The sequence below is a fragment of the Homo sapiens genome, chromosome 4 (assembly GCF_000001405.40).
Source record: "Homo sapiens chromosome 4, GRCh38.p14 Primary Assembly".
Taxonomy (NCBI): Eukaryota; Metazoa; Chordata; class Mammalia; order Primates; family Hominidae; genus Homo; species Homo sapiens.
The window spans coordinates 173,392,656-173,420,371 of NC_000004.12; the positions used below are offsets into that span (position 1 = coordinate 173,392,656).

General features: G+C 40.4%; 1 protein-coding gene, 1 long non-coding RNA gene and 1 pseudogene across 5 annotated transcripts in view; 1 reads left to right on the forward strand and 2 right to left on the reverse strand.

Annotated features, from left to right (window-relative positions):
* SCRG1 (stimulator of chondrogenesis 1) overlaps positions 1-27,716 on the reverse strand; it is a 134,444-nt gene that overhangs the window by 7,955 nt on the left and 98,773 nt on the right. Inside the window, exon 1 of one of the 3 annotated variants that reach the window (NM_007281.4) lies at positions 6,413-6,461. The exons of the other annotated variants lie outside the window; for them this stretch is intronic. The gene's annotated coding sequence lies outside the window, so the exon portion shown is untranslated. Of the gene's footprint in view, positions 1-6,412; positions 6,462-27,716 lie in introns of those variants that run through there. 3 annotated transcript variants of the gene reach the window in all.
* On the forward strand, positions 402-21,425 carry LOC112268474 (uncharacterized). Of its 2 annotated transcripts, XR_002959832.2 has the most exons (3): positions 402-515; positions 10,063-10,155; positions 11,241-21,425. It is a non-coding gene; the product is annotated as an uncharacterized LOC112268474 (long non-coding RNA). The 2 variants fall into 2 exon arrangements; XR_007058369.1 differs by lacking the exon at positions 402-515 and having other exon boundaries at positions 4,687-10,155.
* RPL5P11 (ribosomal protein L5 pseudogene 11) lies at positions 26,532-27,552 on the reverse strand (annotated as a pseudogene).

Here is a 27,716-nt window from a genome sequence, read left to right on the forward strand (position 1 = left end):
GAAGAATAGCAAAATAGTGGAGGAACCAGGATTAGAATCCAGAGCCATTCAGATTTTATCTTGTTAACAGGTGCCAAAGTATCTTTCCTTCCTTGGAAAGAGGGAAAACAGATGGAGGACATTGTACTTGGAAAGAAAACAATATTGTGGAATAGCCAGACGTGGTGGCTCACACCTGTAATCCCAGCACTTTGGGAGGCCAAACCCGGCAGATCACCTGAGGTCAGGAGTTTGAAACCAGCCTGCCCAACATGGCAAAACCCTGTCTCTACTAAAAATACAAAAAGTAGCCAGGCATGGTGGCATGCGCCTGTAATCCCAGCTACTTGGGAGGCTGAGGCATGACAATGGCTTGAACCTGGGAGACAGAGGTTGCAGTGAGCAGAGATCAAGCCACTGCACTCCACCCTGCATGACAGAGCGAGACTCCGTCTCGAAAAAAAAAAAAAAGAAAGCAATATTGTGCAATGGACATTTTTGGTATAAAGTTTTTAGTGATTAGGTATCTTTTAAAGGTAAGTCATTTTAGATAAGATAATGGATTTTTAAATAAATACATTTATTGCTTTTTTCCCTTTAGATTAGAAACAAAGTATTTCTTCATACTCCTAAGAGTTTCAGAGTTTCTTTGTCTCACATTCTAATTTGAGTTAGCCATTTTTGGCTTTGGCTATATATTTCCTTAGAATTATCAATATCCAATTTAATTCCTACCTCCAAACATTAGTGAAAGAAAAGACTAAAATGAGATCTACCTCATTTTATATATTTTCAGATTTAATGGACTAAGACATTGCAGTGTTACAGTGCATCACAATCCAGCATATATAAATGATATCTTCCAATGGGCTTTTTGTAGGTCATGGTTTAAGTGACCTAATATGTGATCTATCATGGAGAATTTTCTGTATGTACTTGAGAAGAATGTATATTCTTCTGCTGTTTAACTGAACATTCTGTATATGTCTGTTAGGTCCATTTGGTCTACACTGGTGTTGAAGTCCACTCTTTCTTTGTTGATTTTCTGTCTGGTTATTCTAACCATTACTAAAAGTGGAGTATTGCAGTTTCCTACTATTATTGTGTTGCTATTTCTCATTTTAGTTCTGTCAATATTTGTTTTATATATATATATGTGCTCTGATATTGAGTGTGTATATATTTATAATTGTTATAGCTTCCTGGTGGGTTGACCCTTTCATCATTATACTTTCTTCTTTGTCTCTTGTGACAGTTTTCTACTTATAGTCTATTTTGTCAGATATGAAATAGTCCACTCTGCTTTCTTTTAGTTACCATATGCATGGAGTATCTTTTTTCATTTCTTTACTTTCAGCTTGTGTGTGTCCTTAAATGTTAAGTAAGTCATTTGTAGAAATCATATAGTTATATATTGTTTTTTTTTCTTTCTGCTACCCTAAGTCTTTTGATTGGAGAGTTTAATCCATTTACATGTAAAGTAATTATTGATAGGGAAGAATTTACTATTGCCGTTTAGCTTATTGTTTCTAGTTGTCTTGTAATTAGTTCTTTGGTGCTTTTCCCCCCTGCCTTGTCTTCCTTTGTGTTTTGTTGGTTGTGTTTTTCTTTTTCTTCTTCTTCTTCTTTTTTTTTCCGATATGCTTTGATTCCTTTCTCTTTTGTGTAAACTGCTATAGGTATTTCCATTGTGGTTACCATGAGGCTTACATAAAATATTTTATAATTGGCCAGGCGCAGTGGCTCACACCTGTAATCCCAGCACTTTGGGAGGCCGAGGCAGGCAGATCACGAGGTCAGGAGATCGAGACCATCCTGGCTAACACGGTGAAACCCTGTCTCTACTAAAAATACAAAAAATTAGCCGGGCGTGGTGGCGAGCGCCTGTAGTCCCAGCTACTTGGGAGGATGAGGCAGGAGAATCACTTGAACCCAGGAGGCAGAGATTGTAGTGAGCCGAGATCTGTGCCACTGCACCTGAGTCTGGGTGACAGAGAGAGACTCCGTCTCAAAAAAAAAATTATAATTATAAGTCTGTTTTGAGGTAATAACAACTTAACTTCAATCACATACAAAAACTCTACACTTTTAATTCTCTCTCACCACACTATGTTATTTGATGTCACAATTTACATCTATTTATATTGTGTATCCATAAACATATTTTAAATTATAGTTATTTTAATACTTTTGTCTTTCAACTTTTATGCTAGAATCAAATGGAATTCAACCACCACCATTTTAGTAATATAGTAGTCAGTATTTGTATATACACTTATCTTTATCAATGAGTTTCATATTTTCTTATGCTATTTTGTTGCATTTAACAATAAAGATGTATAGAGTATTTCCTTATAATTAAAAAGAAATCTTTTTCTTCCATTATGGTCTTTCTATATGTTGCTCTCTCTACCAGGAATGTTCTTTTTTGGGCTAGTTTTTTGAGTTTTAGGTCTCAGTTTAAATGTCATTCCTTCAATGGCCTTTCAGTCTAAGGTAGTTTCAACTTTGTTCTTTCATAGCGCCCTTTCTTTTCCTTAATGATATTTATCACAATTTAAATGATATATTTGTGAATTTACTCATTTTATGTCTGTCATTCTCATTAGACCGAAGGCTCCATGACAACAATTTATTTTGTTCACTACCATACACCAGTGGCTAATACAATGCTTGGCCCATATTTGAAAATGAATGATTTTCCAAAAACACATTTTTTATTCTAGGCAAGAGCCTATAGAGGTCTTATGTTGTCTAAAAGAATATATGGACTTCTTGGGCTAACCTAAGGCCTTCCTTTCACTTTGTCTCCATGCCTATCATTTATTCCTGTTCAGCTAGCCGGGCAGTCAAGCCAGTCATCTCTTTAATCCTATGTATGTGTCTCTGCCTTGTTGTTCCTTCTCACCCCTTCCCTTGATATTAATTTCTGACCAAAGCATCCATGAAGGACAAACCTCACACTCATATCTTCTAAGAATCCTTCCCTGATTTCAGACAATACTACTCTCATAGCTCCCTTGCTCTATGTTCCCAAAGCACTTATATATAATCTGGCCTACAAGAACTGTGAATTTGAGTAAATAATGCCTTGTCATTGTCAGCATTTTTATAAGCTGGTTAACCATTTGGAGAATATGACTACAATTGGATATGGGGAGTGGGAAATTCATAGAGCTGATTAATTATTTAGTGAATTGGTTATTATGTGAATTTACCTACAGCCAAGAAGGAAGATTGGGAACAATCATAAAGGGCCTAGAAGATATGATAAAGAGTTTAGATTTTATTGAGTATATTAAGAAGCCATTGGAAGATTTTGACAGAACAGTAGCATGATCTGATTTATGCCTTTTTAAAAAAATCCCTGGCTGGCCTGTGAAGATGTATTGTGGTGGGACAAGATTGGAAATAGAAGAAAACAGGCTTTTGGTGAGAACTGATGGGATATATGAAGCAAGAGGGAAAGAATCAAGGATGACTCTTGGGCTTTTGGCTTGAATGGTGTTGTCATTTGTTGAACTGAGGAAGAATTGGAAGGAGCCAATTTTGGGGGGAATCCAGAAATGAGTTTTTAGACAAGTTAGGTTTGAGATGCCTGTTAGATATTAAAGTGAAGATGTTGAGTAGGCAGTTGAATGTGAGTCTAAAGATCAGGGGTGAAAATACAAATTTGAGAGTAATCAGGATATTTATTGATAGTATCTATAGCTATGGGTCTGGCAGGGCAGTAAAGGTAGATCCAGAAGAGATGAGGCAAAGGGCTGAGGCCCAGGGCAATTCAATATTCAGAGGACTAGAAGAGGAGATGCCAGCATCAAGGCAGCAAGGACTGTAACTTCTACTTCTTTTGTATTGAAGCAGAGTGCCTGCTTCAATGCTGAGCTCACAGTAAGTGTTGAAAAAATTTCCTTCAGTGAAATGAACAAATAAATTGCTGGTAAAATAAGTAAGTAAATTGCCATACCACATACCTCTTCTGTGTTCATGCCAGAGCATAAGATCATTTTTTTGCCACAGTCTAAGTCGCATACTACAATGGAAAGTTCCACACCTAGCAAGTACCTACTGGTAGTTTTGTGTGTGTGTGTGTGTGTGTGTGTGTGTGTGTGTGTATGCATTATAAATTACATGTTTTGGCCCAGCACAGTGGCTCACACCTGTAATCCCAGCACTCTGGGAGGCCGAGGCGGGCAGATCACGAGGTCAAGAGATTGAGACCATGTTGGCCAACATGGTGAAACCCCATCTCTACTAAAAATACAAAAATTAGCTGAGAGTGGTGTCATGTGACTGTAGTCCCAGCTACTCAGGAGGCTGAGGCAGGAGAATCACTTGAACCGCGGAGGCAGAGGTTGCAGTGAGCCGAGATTGCACCACTGCACTCCAGCCTGCGCGATGGAGCCAGACTCCGTCTCAAAAAAATGAAATAAAATAAAACAAAATAAAATAAAATAAATTACATGTCTTAAATGCAGACTTCTCTTCTTCCTTTACTTAAGTACAGATAAATAGCTTTAACTATTATTTAGCAAATGGAAAAATTTCTGACCCAGTGTGTTCCTGGGATACATTGGTTGTTGTTTCATTAAAGGATACCAAACTTAATCCTTGGCAATCCATCAAAACCATATATGTTCAAGTGCCAACAAGAGTGAAATGATTTTGGCCAATTTGAAGAAAATTGGTCTTTTTTTTTTCTTTTTCAGTTGAGGTACATGTACTTAAAATCCCTCCTGGAATACACCCAAATTACAAAAGAAAACAAAGTTACCTACTAAAAATTAGAAGGAGTGAGCAAGAGAAGCTTAGGTAGTTATCCATTTTTTTAATTCGATTTTATGTAATTAACATTGTTCCAAATGTTGTATGATACCATTTATATCCTAATAGTGTTGTAAGTTTTAATAGATCATTGCAGAGGATACAGGATTATGAGCAAGACATTTCCAACTAAACAATAAATCATTGCTACCATCCTTTGGTAGGGAGTTGCAAATTTTGATTCTGTCTGAGGGCATTTAGCACAAGCAAGCTTTTGAATGGCTGGAGCTAAATGGAGACTTAAAAAGAAAAATTATCCCATTTAATTGCCAAAACTAACAGGACCATGCAGTTTAAGTGTTCAGACATTTATGGTGCAAATGCTCATACAGGCAGCTGATGTCAGTTCTGGGAACTGGTATTAAGAGCAGTGGCATGAAACAGAGTTGATGAATTAGACAGAAAAGACAGTCCATTTTCGGATTGCTTTCAAAAAAGCAGCAAGAGAGAAGCAAAGCTGCAAAAGCAAATGAAAACTCCAGCCCAGAACTTGACATTTGAAATATCAAAATTATAGTTGGGAGAGATTAAAATTGCTGCCCAGTCTGTGATGTTTTCCACTCATCTCTCTTGGAGGATGAAAATCACTGTTTTTTTAAAGTTCTCTTTTTTTCTTATTAGCTGCCTTAGAAGACGTTTTTGTTAGAATGACTGAGTCCTTAGAAAATGTTTTTGTTAGAATGACTGAGTCCCAAAGTGAAATTTCCCAAAGTATGTGTTAAAGAACAGAAGCAGTATTAAAAAGTGAATAAGCTGCTTAAAGATCCTTAAAACAGACATATCATCTTAAATATCTAAGATACCTTCATCCATAGAAAAACAAAATCCACATCCTCCCTAAAAGTGATCAGGCTTTTAGAGCATGCCAGAAGATGATATTAATATTCAGTCTTGCATCATTCTCCTTCTTTTCCTGGACACAGTAAATCATCATCACTGGAGAAAAGGACCAGCATTTGGGAGAGCTTTTCATAGCCTGTGTAATTAAGTTAAGGAATTTTAAAGAGGAATTTTTCTAAGTCTCAGAGGGAAAAAGTGTTCTCTTTATATTAGCAGTACAGACACTGTTGTGTTCCAAGAATGGACACCAAGGATGAATTCAATGAATTCCCTCTTTGTATCACACATTTGTACCAGGTTCTTTTCAGAAATCAGGATTTTTAAAAGCAAAAAACATTTTCTTTCTTAGATGTTGCAGTTAACTTCATGTAGTGTAGGTAATATAGCTGCTGCATTTAAAACAATCCTATATACTTTATCATCCTCACATAGTTCTGAGGACTGGGATAAGTCCTGTTGTGTGGGACAACATTCAGAGTAAATTTGGGCATTAAATAAATGATAGTGAAGAATCTGCCTCTTTTTAAACCTGTAATGAAATGACTTTCCTAGTCAAGAAATATACATTTTCTGTTCTTTTTTAATCTGATTATTTGCCTTTCTACTAGGAAGCATCATATTTTTCAAAGTGCCTGCATCATCTCCTCAGAGGATCTCTGTCTTTCTCTTCTGACTCAACACATACATACATTTCTGCTCTAATCTACAGTAATACTTTGGAGTAGAACAACTGACATAAGATGTTTTTTATAGAGAAAAAATTACATACCTTTTTCTTCTTTCCTTTTGGTCTTGGCAGAGGATGCTTCTTAAATGCTCACACTCACTGGGTGAGTTTGGGCAAAAGGAGAAGAGAGGAGGTGCTGGAAGGAGCTTCTTTACAAATGAACCTTTGTCTGCCTTGTCTCTGGCCTGGGATCGACAGACTCGCTGCTCCAGCCAGGACTGTGGGGAGGAGGGGAGTGGAAGGAGACAAGGCTGCAAGGACTGCCTCCTTTGGAAGTGTTCAGTTTGTTCCAAACCAGGCGAGAACGAATAGAACAGCTTCTTTACAGAGGGAAATAACTAGTCTATACAAGAACCTCAGGGAGGCAGACTCTGGTAGCAATAAAACATAAAACCTGAGGGATTTTAAAAGAACACAGAGTGATTTTTCCCTTAAGAAAAGTGTGTGTGTGTGTGTGTGTGTGTGTTTGTGTGTCTGTGTGTGAGAGAGAGAGAGAGAGAGAAGAGGAAAGTGGGGAATGGCTAGCTGCGCACCTCTTCCCCTTTCACAGTTTTCCTAGCCATCTAGATCTGTTACAAAATCCTGGTAGAAGATACGTTCCAATTCACCTTCCATTTCTCACCCAAAGACTCATTAGTAGTCAATGGAAAGCTAAAATGATGACTAAAAAGAAATGTATTCTGTGCCTTAGAAATAAAAGCACAAAAGAAATTTTATTCTGTTTTCAGCAAACTATACTGGAATTCTAGCATCTGTTAACTGTTGTTTAGGTTTTTAAAAAATTCGATTAGGAGTAGTGTTTTGGGAATTAGAGATATTATATTGTAATGGAGTTGGAATTATCTAGACAGACAATTGAGGCAAGGGCATTCCAGGTTGAATTACAAAGGCATGAAGGTGAAAAAGAGGGTGACAACTTCGGAGATTATAGGTGGTTTCATTTGGCTAAAACCAAAGGTGGTAGGAGATGAAATTTGAGAGACAAGAAGCAGCAAATTGATGAATTACCTCATATGCCATGCTAAAAAAATTGTTTTTATCGTGAAGATGAATGGAAAGATGATGAAAACATATTAAAAAGGATGAAAAGCCTGACTGCAGTGTGAAAGAAGGATGGTTTCCTGGGAGGAAAGGAGACTAAAGACAGAAAATACCGGCTTTTGCTGTAGTCCAGAAGGGAAGATAGGAAGGAAAACTGAAAAGACCTGATGACCACTTAAGTGTTTATGTTTAGCATAGAGATAGGAAATTTTATTAACTTTCAAAGGCTTGGGCCTTTGGACGATGATACTGTTAATCATCTAGAAAAAGGATATAAAAGGAATAACTGTTATTCATCTAGGAAAAAGAATACAAAAGTTTTGGCTGGAGGAGGAGTGGGAAAATAGAAATGAGTTAGTTGGTGAACGTTGAGTTTAAGGAACCCTAAATACAGTTGAGAATGTTTAGTAGGCAGTTGGTTAAATAGACCTAGAGCTTAGGAAAAAGCCTGGTCTAGAGAATTAGTTCATCAACCAATCAACTCAATATCAAATAATCTCAACTAAATAACTAATGCAGGTATTCAACTAAATGATAGCCGAAGTCATGGTTGTACCACTAAGAAGTTACTGTGCTCTTACTGTGTGCCAGGCATTTCATACGTCTGAACTCGTTCACTCTCCTTCCAACCCTATGAAGTAGGTACTATTATTAGTCCCATTTTATAAACGAGGGGAACATCAGAGATGTCAGGTAACCTGCCCCAAATCACACACACAGCCAGAAAATGGCGAGACCCTGGCAGTGTGTTTCTAGTGTCTTTGTTTCCCACCATTATGCTGTACTGCCCCTTAGAATAGATTATAAAGTTCATGATACGACTGAGAGCAGAATTATTCAAGGAATGGGCAGAGAACTGGGAAGGAAACTGAGAAGAGGTAGCCAAAGAAGTAGGGGAAAATTAGGAGAGTGTCATCATGGAAGTTAAAGGAAGAGTATTTCAAGAGAATGGAGGTGAATGGAAGGCTGCTAATGACAGCAGTGCTGGGAGAACAACACGTGCACACCCTGATATGAAGGTAGGCAGAGCAAAGAGAAGGTCAATACAACCAGAAGCAGTTCCAGCCCTGACAGAGATCAAATCTCTGCTTGGTCTCCATTTCGCTGAAACTGGAGCAAGTGGCATGGACCTCAGGAAGGGAGATGAGAGGTGTGTGCGCAATGGACTGCACATTTCCTTTGCATATTTATAAACAAGTCTGCTGTGATTCTTACTAAATAAAGATGATGCCATACACAGATGGAGTTAATTTGTTTGCATGATTTAAATGTATATAAATATGTGAATATGAGGAGGAAAATGGAAACTAGCCTTTATTCCACTTTAAGAGCTATCCGTCCTGTTTACCTCAGGTAGATCTAAACAGAGGTATGGTGCCAAGGCAAATCAACATTCCCTGTAGATGGATCCTCTCTTTACTCTGTTTTACTCTTATTTCCCTGTGTGTCTAATTCTGTCTAAATTTCCCTTATTGTGTTGCTTATTTTGTCTCCTTGTGTCTGAATTCATAGCTGCTCAAAATAGTTGATTCATTTTTATATTCAGCAACACTGAAATCCATACAATATGCTTGGCATTGTGCTTATGAATGCTGCCTGTAAGTGGTACACAGCAGCTCTTGGTAATGATCTAATCATCTCTGGATCATGTTCTGAGCCACTTAGGAAAGTTTTCCCCTAAGAAGCACATTTGGACCCTGGCCTCCAAATCCCTTGTGTTTTCAAACATGTGTTTATTACTAGCTGGACTTCCTATCATTTCTAGGAAGAATCATTAAACAATATCAAACTTATAATTGCTTGTCATTCATCCTGATGTCCATTACATGGGGATGTCCTTTTGAGAAGGAGTTCAATTCCAAACCAAGGCCTGCAATCACAGAGTCTGCCTTTGTGGTTTTTAATTTGTGGCTCAAATCTGAAACCACTCTTTGTTTTCCTGTAAATGGAGCCTTAAGGCCTTTTAGTTTTCTTTCCTGATGGGCTGTTACTCAGACCTCTTATCGAACCCGCTTTATGTTGCTCTGAAGACCACCTGTTTCTTTGAGACGGCCTCAGGAGCCTCCCAAAGTGAATCTTTTATGTGACATAGAGCTTCTATTTTAAGTAAAACCATCCAAATGTAATGTACAGATTTCCAGAAAATATGTCCAGCTATGTATTTTTATGTGATGATGATGACGATGGTGATGATGATGTGTGTGTTTATTTCTATAGGTATATGTTATCACTCTTAGGTGCAGTCAGGTTTGTTAGAAATAGAAAATCCTCACAAATTAGTGATAAGACCAATTCGTGAGTAGAGAAACATTTTATACAGAATTTAAGCAATTACATTCAAAGTACTGAAATTAAATTTGTAAAGAGACCTAATTAGTATTTCTTTTTAAAAAAAAAAAAACCTCCCAAAATTGAAAAATTGAGAAAAACACCAAAAAACAGCAAAATCCTTCCAATCAGGTGAAGTCTGAAGAGATGTCTCAGATATAAATAATTTCAGATATCAGACATCTTAAGCTTGTGAGAGAAAAAAAATGGAACATGCATTAGTTCTTCCTCTGATGTCCACCTGGGAGCTCATGCATTCACCCTAATTTAGAATCTGCTGCTCCTCTGTTCCATGATTGACCCCTTTCTCTCATTTCCCTCAGGCTTGACTCCTTCTGGGCTCACCAAGGCTGGCAGTATGGGGAGAAGCAGCAGCTGGTTTCGGCCTTCACAGCTCACATCTTCCCAGGAGAGAGGTAGGACTTTTTTTATGTGAGTATCCTTGACAAAAGGAGCCTCAAAATAATTGCACTTATTGAAAACTAACTCACAATATGCTTGTTGAAATGGTGATGAACTGCGACAAAATCACCTCTTAAAACTACCTTTAAAATCTTTCATCAGTTAAAAAGAAACAAGCTATTTTACTAACTTATTTTTGAACTCAGTAAAAGAGTTTCCTCTTTGATTACAACTATATAAAGTTTCCCTTAAGATATCCACTGAACCTTGGACATTTATGCTTAGAATTGTTTTTGAAAGTGGGTTGAACAACATAACCTCTATTACCCAAACTTAGCTTTATGTTGCTGAAGTGAGACTCAGGAAAACAGGTTCTACTGAGGAATCGTCAGTAAGGCCCTTGAAGAGACAGCAGAATCACCAAGTAGCTGTTGTGTAAGAGGGTGAACTGATGCCACCTCCCCTGCAGGGAGAGAAATGCTTCCATGAGGTATTCATATTGGAATGCAATTTCGATGGTATGATGTACTTGGGAATGGCTAGGATTCCCAGATGGGCAACCCTGGCTATAATGGGGATAGCCAGGAGAGTCTTCTTGATCAAATGCTTTTAGTCAGAATATCAAACACAAGCTCTCTTTTCCCTGGGCATAGAGAGTAAGGCACCCACCTTCGTCTGCGCCGCCCCGGGAATGCTGGGCTTTTTAACAGAATTGATACATAGAGACTGTAAGGTTACTCATGTAACCATGAGTAACATGATTTTCAATGCTGCAGAAATAAAGTCAGAAAAATGAACATCAGGAGAGACCTGTGTCCAAGAAAACTATCCACTTTTAGGAGCCCATGGAATAGTTAGAATGAATGGTAATGTTAATATGAAAATAAACTTTGGCAAGAAAAGAGGCCAAGAAGGAAAGGAACATGAAAATAACCTTTTTAGTTTCCTGGCAGTCTCTAAGGGGCATTGGACTGGTCCATGGAATCACAGCCCAGAGCCTAGCAATAATTTTATGATTTATTGGAGACAACCTACTCACTTACCAAACCTAGAAAGATGGAAAGATTGACTAAGTGTGTCAACGTGTATTCTTTCGTAGGTCCTGAGTTATTGCCCTAATCTTCTCAAAGCTGTTTCACAGACACAAGCATCTGGTGAGTTGATAATGTTAATGATAATAGCAATGATACTAGTAATAATAATGCTATTAACTGCATTGCCAAGTGTGCTAAACATTTTGCAAATGTTGTCTTATTTAGTACACGCAACTTACTTACATGAGGTAGTTTCCAGATGGGGGAACTGGGGTTCAAAAAAATTAAGCACTTGGCCAAGATCACACAGCTGATAAGTAGTGGAGCACAAACTGGAAACCAAGACAAAACTGTGCTCTTAGCCTGCTGCCACAATAAATAGCAAAAGAAATAGAATGAGAAATTGGAGAACCTAAAACAACAGTACCTTTTTAAAAAATTGTAGCCCATAATTTGAATGTGCATGAATCACACCTGCTCTCTGTGAGCCACAGAGTCGTCTCTCTTTTACTGTGTTTCCTCCGTCCATCTTCTGTTCATATTTGGCTTGAAACAGTTCTTAACTGGACAGTCAGAAACTTAAAGCAGCTGAATGGTGTTTTCTACAAAGTCAGATATGGACAGTTGCCAAAATATCAGTCCTTGGGACAGAGTTTTTAAGTGATTATAATTCTAGGAGTAAAACCAGTCACTCAGTAAATATTTGTTAAATGAATGAATGAGTTAATGAATAAATGAGTGAGGGGATTAGATTCTTGGGTACAGGAGAGGTTCTTGGGAAGTAATCATTCATAATTATTTATTGTGTGTCTGCTGTGTACCATGAATGATATTGCAGTGTCGCTGAAGGCAAAGTTCAGCAACTGATCACTATTTCTTCAAGGTCCTCTCCAAAGCACAAGCTACTTGGCCAGCCTGGCTGCTGAGTCCTAATGTAAACCCTCAGTCTTCTCCCTTGTAAAATAAGGGGTTTAATTGATTGTTTTTATTGCTCTTCTACTTCCCATTTTTCTATGAGTATATGATTCTAAATATCATTTTTAAACAAACATTTTTATTTTAAAATAGTTTTTCATTTACAGAAAAACTGTTAGCTTAGTACAGAGACTTCCTATATACCCTATATCCAGTTTCCTCTATTATTTAACTCTTACATTAGTGTGGTCCATTTTTTATAATTAATAAATCTACATTAATACATTATTATTAACTAAAGTTCATACTTTATTTATTTGTACTTAGTTTTTACCTTTTCTGTTGCGGGATCCCCTGCCCAGAACACCACATTACATTTAGTTGTAGTGTCTCTTCAGGCTCCTCAGTGTCTCCGACTTTGCCTGTTTTTGATGACTTTGACCGTTTTGAGGAATACTGGTCAAGTATTTTGTAGAATGCCTCTCAACTTAGATCTGTCTAATATTGGTCTTATGGTTAAACTTGGGTTATGTGTTTGTAGAAAGAGGACCACAGAGTTAAAGTGCCATTTCCATCATGTCATATCACACATGAACATACAGGTCAGGAACGTGACTTATCACTATTGATTTAACTTCAATCACCTGGCTCAAGTCGTTTTCGTTATGTGGCTCCACTGCACATTTACTCTTTTTCTCCCCCTTTCCATAGTACACTCTGTGGAAGGAAGTCCCTATGCATGGTCCATATGTAAGGAGTGGGAAGTTATGCTCTACCTCTTTGAGGGCGGAGTAACTACATAAATTTTGGAGAATTTTTCTTCACATGAAATTTGTCCATCATTGCTTATTTATTTACTTGTATTAGGATGAACTCATGTATATTTATTCTATACTTTGGATTATTTTATACTTTGGATTAAAATATTCCTTGCTCAAACTGTCCCAGCTTTTGCCTTTAGGGGCTCCTTTAGTTGCCTCTTGTGTCTCTATGGCATGCCCCATCAAGGTCGTGGTTTTTGGTTTTGTTTTGTTTTTGTGCACTTTCTTCCTTTCTGGCACTAAAAGATTGCTCCAAGCTCATCTTGTGTATTTCCTGTCCCAGTACTAGAATCAGCCATTTCTCCAAGGAGCCCTGGTTCCTTTCATTGAAGAATAAATTAGAAACCAAGATCTGGGAGCTAGGTGTGCTCACTAGTACTGGTGTGTCATAGCTTCTCATTCCTCTCAGCTGACAGAGCAAGGAAATATACTGTGTATACCAACCTGTGTAAATACACATATCTATGAATATTGCTATGCATAACTGTCTGTATCTACAACAACCTAAACATGAGTTTATTCTGATGCCTCCAACTCTAATCCATTACTACGTGAATCATTTGAGCTTCCTCCTCTTGCTCATCTGTAACCTCCTGCTCCAGCAGTGGGAACCTAACTCCTACTATCAGCCACTTATTTAATTGTTCATTTCCAGTATACATGTATAGCAGCATCGGAATTGTTGGCACATACCTCATGGTAAACAATTTTATCAGCTGGAGTACAGTGTTTATATACGGTGTCTTTTACCTTTAGTTTGACAGACTCTACTCATTTCCAAAGTTACATAGGTCTGCAACTTCCCCCTCACTACGCCTTTCAGTGAGGTTGTTTCATACATGAGTAATAAAGTTAGATTGTTTTGTCACATTCTGTTTTTATCCTGGGATTGTCCAACCTCCTAAATAATTGTTAGTAATTTGCATGTATTAAGGTTCAGTCTTTGTGCTGAAAAGGTCTGTGGGTTTTGACAAGCACATAGTGTCTTGTACATACCATTACATTATGATACAGAATAGTCTCTCTGCCCTAAAATATCTCCTGTGGTTTACCTATTCAACCCTCCCCTCCCTCCTACCCTGAACTCCTGGCAGCCATTGATCTTTTTACCATCTCTATAGTTTTACCCCTTCTAGAATGTCATATAATTGGAATCATGTAGTATGTAGCCATTACATACTGGCTTTTTTCACTTAGCAATATACATTTAAGATTCATCTATGTATTTTCATGGCTTGATAATTTCTTTTTATCACTGAATAATATTCCATTGTATAGATATACCAGTTTGTTTATACTTTCACTTGTTGGAGGACATCTTGGTTGCGTACAGTTTTGGAAATTAAGAACAGAGGTGCGCGCTGGGCATGGTGGCTCACGCCTGTAATCTCAGCACTTTGGGGGGCCGAGATGGGTGGATCATCTGAGGTCAGGAGTTTGAGACCAGCCTGGCCAACATGGTGAAACCCTGTCTCTACTAAAAATACAAAAAATTAGCCAGGCATGGGGGCACATGCCTGTGATCCTAGCTGCTCAGGAGGCTGAGACAGGAGAATTGTTTGAACCTGGGAGGCAGAAGTTGCAGTGAGCTGAGATCATGCCACTGTATTCCAGCCTGGGCGACAGAGCGAGATCCATCTCAAAAAAAAAAAAAAATAGAGGTGCTGGGGCTGGATGCGGTGGCTCACGCTTGTAATCCCAGCACTTTAGGAGGCCGAGGTGGGCAGGTCACCTGAGGTCAGGAGTTTGAGACCAGCCTGACCAACATGGTGAAACTCCATCTGTACTAAAAATACAAAAATACATTAAAAAAAAAAATTAGCCGCACATGGTGGCCAGCGCCCTGTAGTCCCAGCTACTGGAGAGGCTGAGGCAGAAGAATCACTTGAACTTGGGAGGTGGAAGTTGCAGTGAGCCGAGATAGCGCCACTGTACTCCAGCCTGGGCAACAGAGTGAGACTTCATTTAAAAACGAAAAAAAGAGAGTAGAGGTGCTATAAATATTTGTATGCACGTTTTGTGTGGACATAGTTTTCAATATCTTTTTAACATTTATTTTTCAGGTCAATTAAAATCATTATTTGTAATAATCTAGCCTTTATGCAGCTTCTCAAATATAGCTATTTTAAAAATAATAAACACATTCATATAATAAATCCATTCAGAATCAGACACCATTTTGTATAAAAGTGTAAACAATGAACCTGCAATTATTTTATGGAATAAGATAACTTTAGGGCAGTTTAGCAGTATTTCATTTAACATTCTTTGAAATTTGAGCAGACCTGTGGTCTATGGAAGCTGTTTCTTTTACACTGCAAACAGGGAAATTTATAGGTGTTAAATTTGCTATAAAATTGTTCCTTTATTGCTCCTTTACTAATAAAACATTAAAAATTACATATTTGGAAATCTAAATAAAAGCATTTTCAAACTGAAATAATAAATACAACACAGTATTAGATAACTAAAACTTGCTCCCTTTATGTGTATACATATCAGATAGGACACATGAAATGCCAGGAAATAGGCAATGATGATATTTTCTCTGGATATTTAATCTCTAAACACATGAAATATATTACATACAGTATAATCCTGATGAAATATAACTTGTTATTCCAGAGGATTGGGTATGTGTTAGAGAGTCACCTATGTCCACTGAAAGTTTAAAGCATAGCAACAATTCTACGAAAAAAACCCACACCTTTCTATAACACTGTCTTCTATCAAATGACAATTTGATCAAATTAATCTTTGCCTTTAATACTAATATTCTAAATAAGCCTCCTTCTTTGGGGGTGAATTAACAAAAATTGCCCCTGGATTGTTACTACCTTACAGAATTTTTACTATGCTTCCACACTCTATGTTAGTGACTCGTGTTGATTGGTCCAGTATGGCTCAAGTGTAAATATCTTGACATTAGAAAGATTTAACAATTTTAAGTGATTTATTATGTGTCTTAAGCTATCTTATGTCTATGGTTTATTTTATGTCTTAAGTTACTTTATGTAAAATATTTGAGAAAATAGAGAAGGATAAGTATCTGAGAATGAAGGGTTTAAGAATATCACACAAGTTCAATGTCTTTCCCCTCCCCATAGAAATTTTGACCATTTTAGTGTCAGAAAATTAATGAGTCTGCTAGGCGCCGTGGCTCACGCTTGTAATCCCAGCATTTTGGGAGCCTGAGGCAGGCGGATCATGAAGTCAGGAGATTGAGACCATCCTGGCTAACACGGTGAAACCCCGTCTCTACTAAAAATACAAAAAATTAGCCGGATGTGGTGGCGGGCGCCTGTGGTCCCAGCTACTCCGGAGGCTGAGGCAGGAGAATGGCGTGAACCCGGAGGCAGAGCTTGCAGTGAGCCGAGATGGCGCCGCCGCACTCCGGCCTGGGCGAAAGAGCAAGACTCAGTCTCAAAAAAAAAAAAAAAAAAAAAAAGAAAAGAAAAGAAAAAGAAAATTAATGAGTCTAAAGCTATCTCAGCAAATAATGGGATTTTCTTTCCTGACCTAAAAGGTTCTGAGATTTCTCCATTAGAAGCCTGCCTCACTGAGAGGTGAGGACTTTTTAACCAATAAGCCTGGAGGTTTTAGGGCTTTAGTTTAGCATAAGGAATTCAGGAGAGAATCCCTGGGAATGTGATTCTCCCTGAAGCAAGTCACATGTTATGATACATTAGATGGGAGCTTCTGTGGTAGACCATGTCCCTCTTAACATTATAACAGGGGAAATCTTCCTTCTACCTCTTTTTTCATACCCCTTACCTGTGTGACAGAGGGCCCTTCAGATGCTTAGCTGCCTCTCCTATTCTAGGATCTCTTTCTGTCCTTTGATTTTCATCTTTATCTCTCTTTCTCCATGTCTCTTCCTATCCTTTTGCTCCCATGAAACTATTTGTGCTATGCTCTGTATCCTTCCAGGTTGTGACTCATGTCCCATTTGAAGCTGGAGAAGCAGCAAGATAGACTAAGATATGAATTCCCTGGATCTGCGTTGGTAGTTCCCTGCATACTTTTTTTTTTTTTTTTTTGAGACAGAGTCTCGCTCTGTTGCCCATGCTGGAGTGCAATAGCGCAATCTCAGCTCACTGCAACCTCTGCCTCCCAGGCTCAAGTGATTCTCCTGCCTCAGCCTCCTAAGTACCTGCGATTACAGTCACACACCACTGCACCCAGCTAATTTTTGTATTTTTAGTAGAGACAGGGTTTCACCATGTTGCCCAGGCTGGTCTTAAACTCCTGACCTCAAGTGATCCGTCCGCCTCGGCCTCCCAAAGTTCTGGGATTACAGGTGTGAGCCACTGCATCCAGCCTCCCTGCATACTCTTAAGTATGCCAATATTAGGTGAGTGGATATACATGTCACTGGAAAAAGAACATTTTGTGGCCTTACAATGGATGTTCTTTTCAGTATCCCCCTGACATGGCAAAACAAACTTACCGAGTGCTAAAGATCCTCCAGGAGGAAAGGGATGAAGACCTGGGGAAGGGATCTCCGTCCCATTTGAGATTCAACCTAAGTAAAACTTTCTGAAGGGCTAAGATAGCTCTGACTGAGGTCTCCCAAGAAGAGAGAGTCTGGCTCAGTGACAGGTTCAACACCAGAGCGTAGAGGTTTGTGGGGACAGCTTGTTCTAGATCCTGTGTGTAGCTGTGGTTAGAAGCCCAATTATACCCAGCCACTTTGGCAAAGCTGTCATGTTTAGGGAACAGTGGCTGATTGTGTGAGTGTAAACCCAATAAGCTGTTGTCTTGGGCGTCCATATGCACAGTGCTACCCTGCTGCCTGTGCAGTGTTCCATAGCAGCAAGGCCATTCCTACAGCAAGACAAGGACTCACTGAAGCCTGATGGAATCAGTTTTCAACAGTGACATTGTACAGAAGTTATGTTTAAAACCAGAACCTGTTAATGGACTGGTCACATGGACCACTGAAACAAGACTACTACCTTTGGACTAAGTTAATTCTCAGGTTTCTGTACAACAGAGAGAATGAAGGTTCCTTAAGAAAGAGAAACCAAATTACCTACTATATGGAGGAATGGAGGCTTAAGCAAGCAATTGGAAAAATAAAGAGAGATCCCCAAATTTTTCGTCCTAAACTGATCGAGATCCCTACAGATTATATTTAATATGCTAACTCATTGTGAATCTCTAAGAGCTGAAGGGTTTGCTAAATTTGTTTGACTACTGGACTTTTTAAAAAAAACTATATATCTCAAGAGACTGGACTCTAAGGAACACTTGTTATAATAGAAAATGCTTCTTCGGTGACAGAATTTTAGATATTAGGTCATGACAAAGGAGCAGCACATTGGGAGCAGAGGCCCTTTCCTGGCACCCACCCATATAGTTGTTTGACTGTCTCAGAGTAGACTAGTTCTGGGGTTCTGTGCTGTTAATCATGTTGCTCTAGTGACTCTAACCCAAGAAGGGCAGAGTGTGCAGTGAGACAGTGCTGAGATGGGATTCCAACTTCCTCCTTAGCTCCATCTATCATTATTAGCCTTTGAATAATGCCCACCACCTGCAATTGCTCGTTGGCTACATGAGAGTAGAGATTTCCCGTTTTATTGTTTTATGCATCCTCAGTGTCTAGAACTGTGCCAGGCACCGTTTAAGTACTCAATAACTATTTATCAAATGAATGAACTTCTGATCTAACACTGTCCTGGCAAAGACACTAAAAGCCTAACTTAGCAATTTCTTTTGTACAGTTTGTACCTTGTGGCTACAAAGATTCAGGAAGTATGAGAACAGTGATGACTTGGAACTACTAACTAGGTTTGGTGGGCCCAGTCCTCAGCAGCAAACAGTAAATAATGTTTTATTTGTAAATCAAGTGAAACCTATCTTTTCCCAGGTTGGACCAACCCAGAATGGGGGTCGGGGTTACAACCATCTCAAACCACATCAGCTGAATCACCATCCCCCTAGTTCCACATTGCTCAATCTGAGGATAAATTGCAACATATTTAGCAACCTGTATGGTGGCATATTTTAATAAATAAATGTATTTCTATAAATCAGTATATAAATAAAAATTAAAAATATTTCCTTTCTAGTCTTTAAACTATGTATCATGAAACTGTTTACAGTGTAATGTAGCTTACAAGGCAACATTTTCATCAAATCATTCTAATAATTTCTAAATCATTATTGATTTTTAGAAATTAATGGTATGGTCTTATGTTTGGTAAGCTCTCACTAAACTAAATGCTGCTTGTCTCTAAGCTACAGTTTTATGGAGGAAACTGTACTAAATGCTTCCAATGGCTTCTCCTTGTGTCGATGGTTATTAGGTGTGGTCCCAGGCATGTGCCTCAGCAGGAGAGTGATTGGGTGGGGTGCCCACTGTGTTTAGAATGCTAGCGTTTTTCACCTCATCTGTGTACCCAGAGTACTTTTGCTTCTGCCCCATCTACAACCCTGTCACTAGCCCAGCTTGTTCTGCTACTCCTGCCAACCCTGGACCCCTCCTGAGCAGCAAGTAGGCACTGTGTCTGTCTCAGCTTCCACCTTGGTCTTCTTATATCATGCTGCCCTGTCCAGATGCACCAGTCCCAAGTCCCAAAACCACTCATGCAGTGGCCACTGCATGATGTCATTTGGTGGCATGTGGTCTAACTTAAGCTACTTACCAACCATCAGGGCAGAATTTCCAGTTTCTACCTGCAGTAACATCATGCCTGTGTGTATTGGCTGAATATAAGCCATGGCCCCGTCTCTTCTGAGTAGTTCCGCAAATCTCAAGGCCATCTCTCACATTTATGTTAGAACAAGGCCATGAATGCTGTTTTCTTCTATCTCATGATCCCTACCATTTCTTCTTCTGTTTCTCACCTCAATAAAATGGCTCCCATGTTGATGCCTTGATTCCCGGAAGGAGCTACTGTTTTGCTTTGCCTCTTAACATCGCTCAGGTGATGCTGCCCTTGCTGATACTCTGTCTCTGAGCTGAAGCAGGAGAAAATCCCCTCTGTTGGCCTGAGTGGCCCATGGTCACCAGCCCAAGGCTGCCTCATGCTCTTCGTGACTTACTGCTTGCTATAATCCTGAGTCTGTGGATGATCACATCAGAAAACGCCCTCAGTTTACTGTTGCGTCCCACTGCTTCCCATCTTCTGAATTAAGACTGCACATTCTGGCTCTTTGCCTTGGGTAATCTTTTCCCCCAATAACTTGGGAGCTTTGATTCCAAGTGGCTTAGGAGAGTTGTTCTCCACACAGCTGGGTACCAGAAGCAGCCAGCTGAATGGGACCAAGGCATGAAGACTGAAAACCTCGCAGGTGACTTGGATCTTCATCCCAGGTTGAGAATCTCTAGCTTAGGAGTCTCTTTTGAGTCCTAAAGGAAATACTCAATTTCCCCCATCTGTCAGGTCCCTGCCACATCTACCGACATGTGCAATGGGATTAATTCTTAAGAAATTCATATACAGCTTAGACTGTTGCTCAGAGACTCCTGCCACTCTGTGAACCACCCCTATGGACACTGATGCACAATTTCCTTTGGGTTGATCTCATAAGTTGCATTTCCAAAAAAAAAAAAGAAAGAAAATAATAAGACCTTGACATCATAAGGAAACCACTTTTAGTTGCTCCATTTCCTGGAGCCTACAGCTGGCAAAATGCCTGGGACAAGATGTATTCAATTCAAGGCAAAGCAGAGTTGTTAGGAGAAGCAGATGGCCCACCTAAGGTGAAAAAATTACTTTCTTGTGAGGATAGGCAGGGCAGTTTATTCACCTCTTCCTCTAGGAAGGTGAGAACGTGTGGAGACAAAATAAATAAAACACATTACAAGCTCATTCCACAGATGAACAGAACAATTGGTGCTGAACAAGTCTACAGGAGGCATCTTCCAGCCTCCAGGAAAGCTGTAGGAGCTTGTCATGCATGCATTAAAGTGCCCCCAGAACTCGAAAACCATTCCATCAGAGGAGCTAATAAGAACCAACGAGTCATTGACAACAGCAACCATCAGTAACCCTCTCTGAGAGCTGGTAATGAACAGCAACAAATATTGGGGATAGTTAAGATGAGCCAGGTAAAGGTTCAGGAAAATGACTGAATAGATTACAGGCAGCAGGAACTGTGATCCATCTGAAGAAAAAGGGGAATCATGTGAGTGGATGTGTGGCAGCTAGAAAATCTGCACATATTGAGGTAAGAGGAGGCCAGGCAGTGAGAATTTGTTGTGATTATCTAACTTTCCAGAGGAGAGAGACATGTTTCTTGGTAGCTACTCATGTTCAGATTATCTAGAAAGTACATTTCATTCAGAAGTCTTCTCCAATATCTGGATGCTGCACCCCTTAAGGTTATGCAATGCTTTTGCTCTGAATCCTTGTTCACAAGCAACAACCTGATTATGAATTTGGTCTCCCAGGTACCTTGATAATGGGCAGAATGTGTCCAAGATTGAGGGAACAAGTTTGGAGATCCTTGGAAAGGCTTATTGTGTACCTGTTACAAATAAATAAATGTGGGTTTTGTTTGAGAGTTTGGTTAGCACGGGTCAGTTTCAACCTAATCACCCAGCAACACAGACAAAATCCTCTCTTGGGACCTGCATGGCTGAGGGTCAGACCCCGGAACACTTTGGCCACTCCTCTGTATTGCCATCCTGTGAGGCTCCACTGGAGCAGCCTGGGCCTTCCTCCCTGACATCTGTGCCTGTTTAAATTTAACACAATCAGCCCAGAAAGTCATCTCCTCACCAGTTTCTTTAAAATCAACAGAGGATAATTCCAAGTAATGTTTTCTGTAATGCATTCTGGAGTCTCATAGCCCTGAACCTTAGGAAACAAGTTGCATCTCACACTCTGTGAGCATCTACCCAAGTAGCAAACTCAGCTTCCTGCAGTGGTCCCTGCTGTCTTCTTCACCCTGATGGGGTGAGTCTTGGTGAGGCCACATGGTGACGTACAGGGGATCCTTAAGCAAGGAGTTGGAAAGGAAAGGTTACGCTGCCAAGCACAGCTCCAACCCAGAGCCCTCATGCCCTCTTGATCATGTCGTTTGAATGGGGGATGGCTTAGGTTAAATGAAGAAAGGGGTGGGTGTTCTCATCTACAAGAGCAGAACTAGAAGGGTGCTTCTTGTCAGCTGTGTTCACAGCAGCTGTGGCTGGGTGCACAGCTTTCCCCATTTTTCCACTGTTGAAAAGAGTGTGTGCTTCTGTGGCTGGTGCTGGCATTCTCATCCCTGACTCTTGTAAAGGTGCAACATCATCACTTCAAGCACTCTCTCTTAGTTTTCTCCTCCCTAGGGTGTGAATAGTTGACATCGTGCACTCCTTGGTGGGCACTGCGTGCTTGCTTGCTATAGGACACTTGTTCACTGGTATTTTGGTAACCAGTAGTTTTTGCCTGTCTCCAGAATAAGAGGGAAGCAGCAGTGACCCAACTCTGGAAATTATCTACCAGGCTCACATCCCATATATTGCCCTATATCCCTTGAAAACAGCAAATTTATATGCACAATAAAAGCGTTAATATTGCATGTTAATTTCTTCTTCCCCCAAATTGGAGAGTTGGCAGAAGGACTAATAAAGATGACTAGTGTGAATAGTCTCTCAAAATAGTCATTTCATAAATTAAATAGGAGATGCATTCACTGCAGCTGAGATTTATGAAAGTTCTGTGAGGTGGCAAAACAGGGTTTGCAATTCAGGATTTTATTGCCCTTAGGGGCTGTGGCTAATCTGTTGTGAAGTGAGGTTTCAGTTGGGTAAAGATTGAGTAACTAGAACAGAGATGCATTGTGTAACCCCCGTTTCCTTTTTATTTCTTGCGGACCAGTGAATATCCTAAGTCCCAAACTGTACGCCAGCTTAGTAGATTTAATTTTTGAGTGTTTTGTATCATGACAGCTCAGCATTTCTTGCAAAAAGTGGCCCCAGATAACCATGGCCATTATATCAGTCTCTGTGCTGATGCTGAATTTGTCTGACAGACTCACACAGGGGCCTCCAAATAGCCTTTTCTTTAAAGGGAAAGAGAACTGGCATTTACCAATTACTTAGTCTGTCTCCAAACGACCTTTATTTCTCATGGCAAATCTGTGACATTGGTATTACAGGTATTTCACCTTTGTTCTGGATAGGATTGAGGCTCAGAGAAACCAAATAGCGTGCCCAAGTTACTTAATTAAGAACCTTAGAAGCCTAAAACAAACATGATCTCTTCTGGTCAGTTTTATACAGGAGAAGTGAGGTTTCAGGATTTAAACCAGGCCTATCTGCCTCCAAATCCATTGCTCCTTCCACTGTGCTGTGTGGCTGCATGAACACACCAAGAGCTGGAGAAATGACATAGGGTCTTAAAGCACCACCAATAAAATCATGCGAAAGAAAACATATTTTGAAAAAAAGGCTGATTGTCATATTGAAGCGCCCCACTGGCAAGTCTCTAGGAGGCCCTGGTAAGACCAGCATGTGCGCCTCGGGGTGTTTTGAGTACCTGGGAGGGCAGGGGCCGTGCAGTCTCCTCTCCCGCAGTGTAGATGAGCCAGGGAGGGACAGCAGCAATACTGCCGCCCCAAAGTCATCTGCCCACTTCCAGTCAGAGGCCCTAACGTTTTCCTAGTTATCTGAGTGTCATCTCTTACGATGACTTATCCTGCTCAAAGCCTCTTTATTTAAACATTTGCCAAGTGGGAGGGATTCTGTCCCGACAACGGCCTCCTCATTTCCATGCTCACTCCCAACGCACGGCTCAGACGCCTGTGCGCAGATCCTGTCTGCCATAAGAACCTCCCAAACGATGCTCCCCGCTGCCAGCCACTCCTTGTGCCCATCTTGTGGCTGCTAGATATATCGTCCTACAGCACAGCTCCGATGATCTCATACCTCTGCTCAAAAGGAAGGAAGTTTCCAAATTTCAAACTCCAGTGCCAGGCGCGGTGGCGCGCCTGTGGTCCGGGTGACTGAGGAGACTGAGGTGGGAGGATCGCTTAAGCCCAGGAGTTGCAGGCTGCAGGGAGCTATGATTGCATCACTGCACTCCAGCCTGGGCAACAGAGTGGGACCCCGTCTCTTAAAAATAATAAAAATAAATTATTTTAATTGTAAAAGTTTGAAACCAAATTTCAAAGTCAAACCTAGAAAGCGTCTGGGGCTATCCCCCGGCTCCTGGGGCCCTCTCCCTTCGTGTGACGGCCTCTAGGACTAGCGTGCTTGGTTTGTTTTTGGAAGCCATTTCCTCAGAGTGATGGTTTCTGAGGAACCATCAGCTGCAAGAGTTCTGCTTTATAAGAATATACACATAAGAAGAAAATAGAAATAGCCTAGAACTCTCCGGATTTCATCACATCATCACACACACACCCAAACACACACACACACACACACACACACACACACACACACACACAGTCACATCATCACACACACCACACACACACCCCACACACAATCACATCTTCACACACACCCCACACACAATCACATCTTCACACACACCCCACACACAATCACATCTTCACACACAACACAAACACAATCACATCATCACACACAACACACACACACACAGACACACACAGACAGAGAGACACACACAGACAGACAGACACACACACACAGAGCCTTTGTCTTTTTACATTTAGTTGTTATTTAGCGCCACCTGGTGTTAAAACTAAACAGCACCTCTGGAGAAAAAACAAGCATCTACAGGCATGTTTTACCCCAAATTGAGGATCTTTAGCACTGGAAGGAACCTTAGAGATCATTTAGACAGATGCCTCATTTTATAGATTAGGAATGTATGCAGATTTAGAAACAGAATTGAATCCATAGTTCTTGAATTCTAGACTCCTCAATTTTCCAGCATGCCCCAGTTGCCCCCTAAGCCTCCAAAGGAATTGGGCTAGAGGGATGCCACCTTTGGAAAAAGACAAAAAAAGAATACTAGCATTTACTGATCCTTTATTATAAGCCAGTTATTGTGCTAAATGCATTTACAGACATGACCTCATGATCTCATTTCTTCTTCATAACTAGTCTCCCTCCCTCCCTCCCTCCTTCCTTCCTTCCTTCCTCCCTTCCTTCATTCCTTCTTTTTTTTCAGAGAGGAGGTCTTGCTCTGTCATCCAGGCTGGAGTGCTGTGGTGTGATCAGAGCTCACTGCAGCCTTGAACTCCTGGGCTCAAGCGATCCTCCCACCACCTCAGCCCCACAAGTAGCTGGCACTACAGGTGTGAGCCACTGCAGTAGGGTGATCTTATTCTTGTTCCGCAGATGAACAAAGTAAAATTCAGAGACCTGCAACACACCTTGGACCTGCAAGTAATTTTATGTCTGTGTTTCTATAAGGACCTGTTCATTCCAGTTGTCTCAGTGGTCAGTGTGGATTGCCACATGAATAATTTGGTGGTGGCTTAAAAAACAAATATTTACTTCTTGCTCATGTTTCATGATAAATGCAGGTTGACTGTGGGTCAGCTATAACTCTGATGGGCTCAGCTTGGCTGGATGAATAATTTGGTGGTGGCAATTGGCATAGATCCCAAAAAATAAAAGATAATGAGGAGCTCAGTAAGGTCATATTGTATTATTTGTTCACAATTACTCATTCCTTCCTTGCCTTTTCCATACTTCTGTGCAGGCAGAATACATTGCCCTCCCTGCATTGACCTTGGACTTGGCCACTTTCTTTTGGTTAATAAAATGTGTGTGAACTTGATATTTGCTGCCAGAGCAGAAGCTTTCAGTGGTGTGGTTTGGTGAGACCTGCTTCAGCCTTGACCTCCCCCGTGAGAACAGCACACCTTAGAGAGTTGCTCTTCCTTCAGTCCTGGCTCCTGGAAGGAGATGATAATTGTGGCTGAGCCAAATCCAGCACAGCTGAGCCCATCAGAGTCACAGCTGACCCACAGTCAACCTGCAGCCCTCATGAAACATAAGCAAGAAATAAATAGTTTTTAAAACCATTGAGAATTTGGTGTTGTTTGTTGCTGCACCAAAAGCTGACCAGTACGGAGTTTGAACACGAGTCTGGTTGACTCCAAAACCATTTTAGAAACTCTCTGTGAAAATGGACACTACTTCCAGGATGATGTCTAATATGGTTTGGGTCTGTATACCCACCCAAATCTCATGTCAAATTGTAATTCTCAGTGTTGCAGGAGGGGCCAGGTGGGAAGTGATTGGATCACCGGTGGGGCGGACTTCCCCTTTGCTGTTCTCATGATAGTGAGTTCTCATGAGATCTGTTTGTTTAAAAGTGTGTAACACTTCCCCCTTCACTCTCTTTCTTCTTCTCTGGCCATATAAGACATGCCTGCTTCCCCTTCACCTTCTGCCATGGTTGTAAGTTTCCTGAAGCCTCCCAGTCATGCTTCCTGTATAGCCTGCAGAACTGTGACTCAATCAAACCTCTTTTCTTAATAAATTTCCCAGTCCTAGGTAGTTCCTTGTAGCGATTTGAGAACATACTAATACAATGTCTAATTTAACTAATTTGAGAACCTACTAGTGTTAGTAGTGGCTGAGGCTCTCACCTCCTTCAAGGCTTTGCTGAATTCCACTCTATCACTGACACTTATCCTGAGCACCTAATTTAATTCTGCAGTGTACTTCTCCAGCTCTACCTCTTCCATCTTTTTTTTCTGTTCATAAGTTTATTGTCTTTATCTGAAAAATCCTCATAGAAAATTGTTTGGTTTAGCTCTCGGCAGCCCGCTCCTGAGCTCTGAGGGAGCTTGCCTTCTCTTGAGCTACCCAATCTTTCTTCTGAGCAAGGGATATTTTGGGACAGTTCTACCTCTTCTTTTTAATTTCTTTCTTGGGCTTCTTTTCATAGACTGGATTCTCTCGTACAGCAGCATGAGCTTTCTTATACATCTCCTCCATCAAGTCTGGAGTTACGCTGTTCTTTGTGTATTGAGAGAACTGTTTTTTGGAAGCATTTTCATCTTCTTCTATTAAGTAGCGCAGGTCATCTGCAAACTTCTGGCCCATGATGTGCTTCCGGTGTACTTCTGCATTAAATTCCTTGTTTTCAGAATCATAACCAAGGATTCATTTGGTACTGTGAGGGATAGACAAACCAAGGAATCGTTTGCTACTGTGAGGGTTAGACAAACCTCCATCCACAGCTCCCTTCGGGGCACCAAACACTTTATTGCCAGTGGTAGTTCTGGCAAGGTCTGCGACCAAATAGCAGGTAAAGGCACCTGGCTGACCATCAATGCTTTCCACATTGTATTCATTGCCAGTCACCTCCACTTGGCCTTCATAGATCTTGTCCATGCCTAACCTATTGAGAAGCCTGCGGGCCAGCAGCAGGCCAGTACAATACGCTGCAGCATAATTTGTCAGGCCGGCCTTCACACCATATTTTGTGCAGACTATCATAGCCCCCTCTATACGGGCATAAGCAACCTGACAAATGATATCTCTATCATCCTGTATTTGGGTGTGTTGTATTTATTTTTATACTGTATCACCAAGCATTTCTGAGCATAGTAATCAGTTTTACCCTTTCATCATCTTCTAAATTTCACTTGGTAACTCTTAAAGTAGGCCTTATTCTTAACAATTTTAACAAACCCCATCCTGCAGAACAGAGACCCACATCCGTGGCTCAACAGAGACCTTCAGGCCCGGCCCTAGTGGGGGAAAAGGGCCCTTTTCTGTACTTTTGATTCCCTTTACCTTGATCTACTTTTTTCTCTTTTTGAAAACACCTATTGCCTTCTAAAATACTCTACAATGAACTTACTTATAATGTTTATAGTTTGAATGTCTCCCTTGCTGAATTTAAGAGGGAAAGGGTCTTGTGTGTTTTG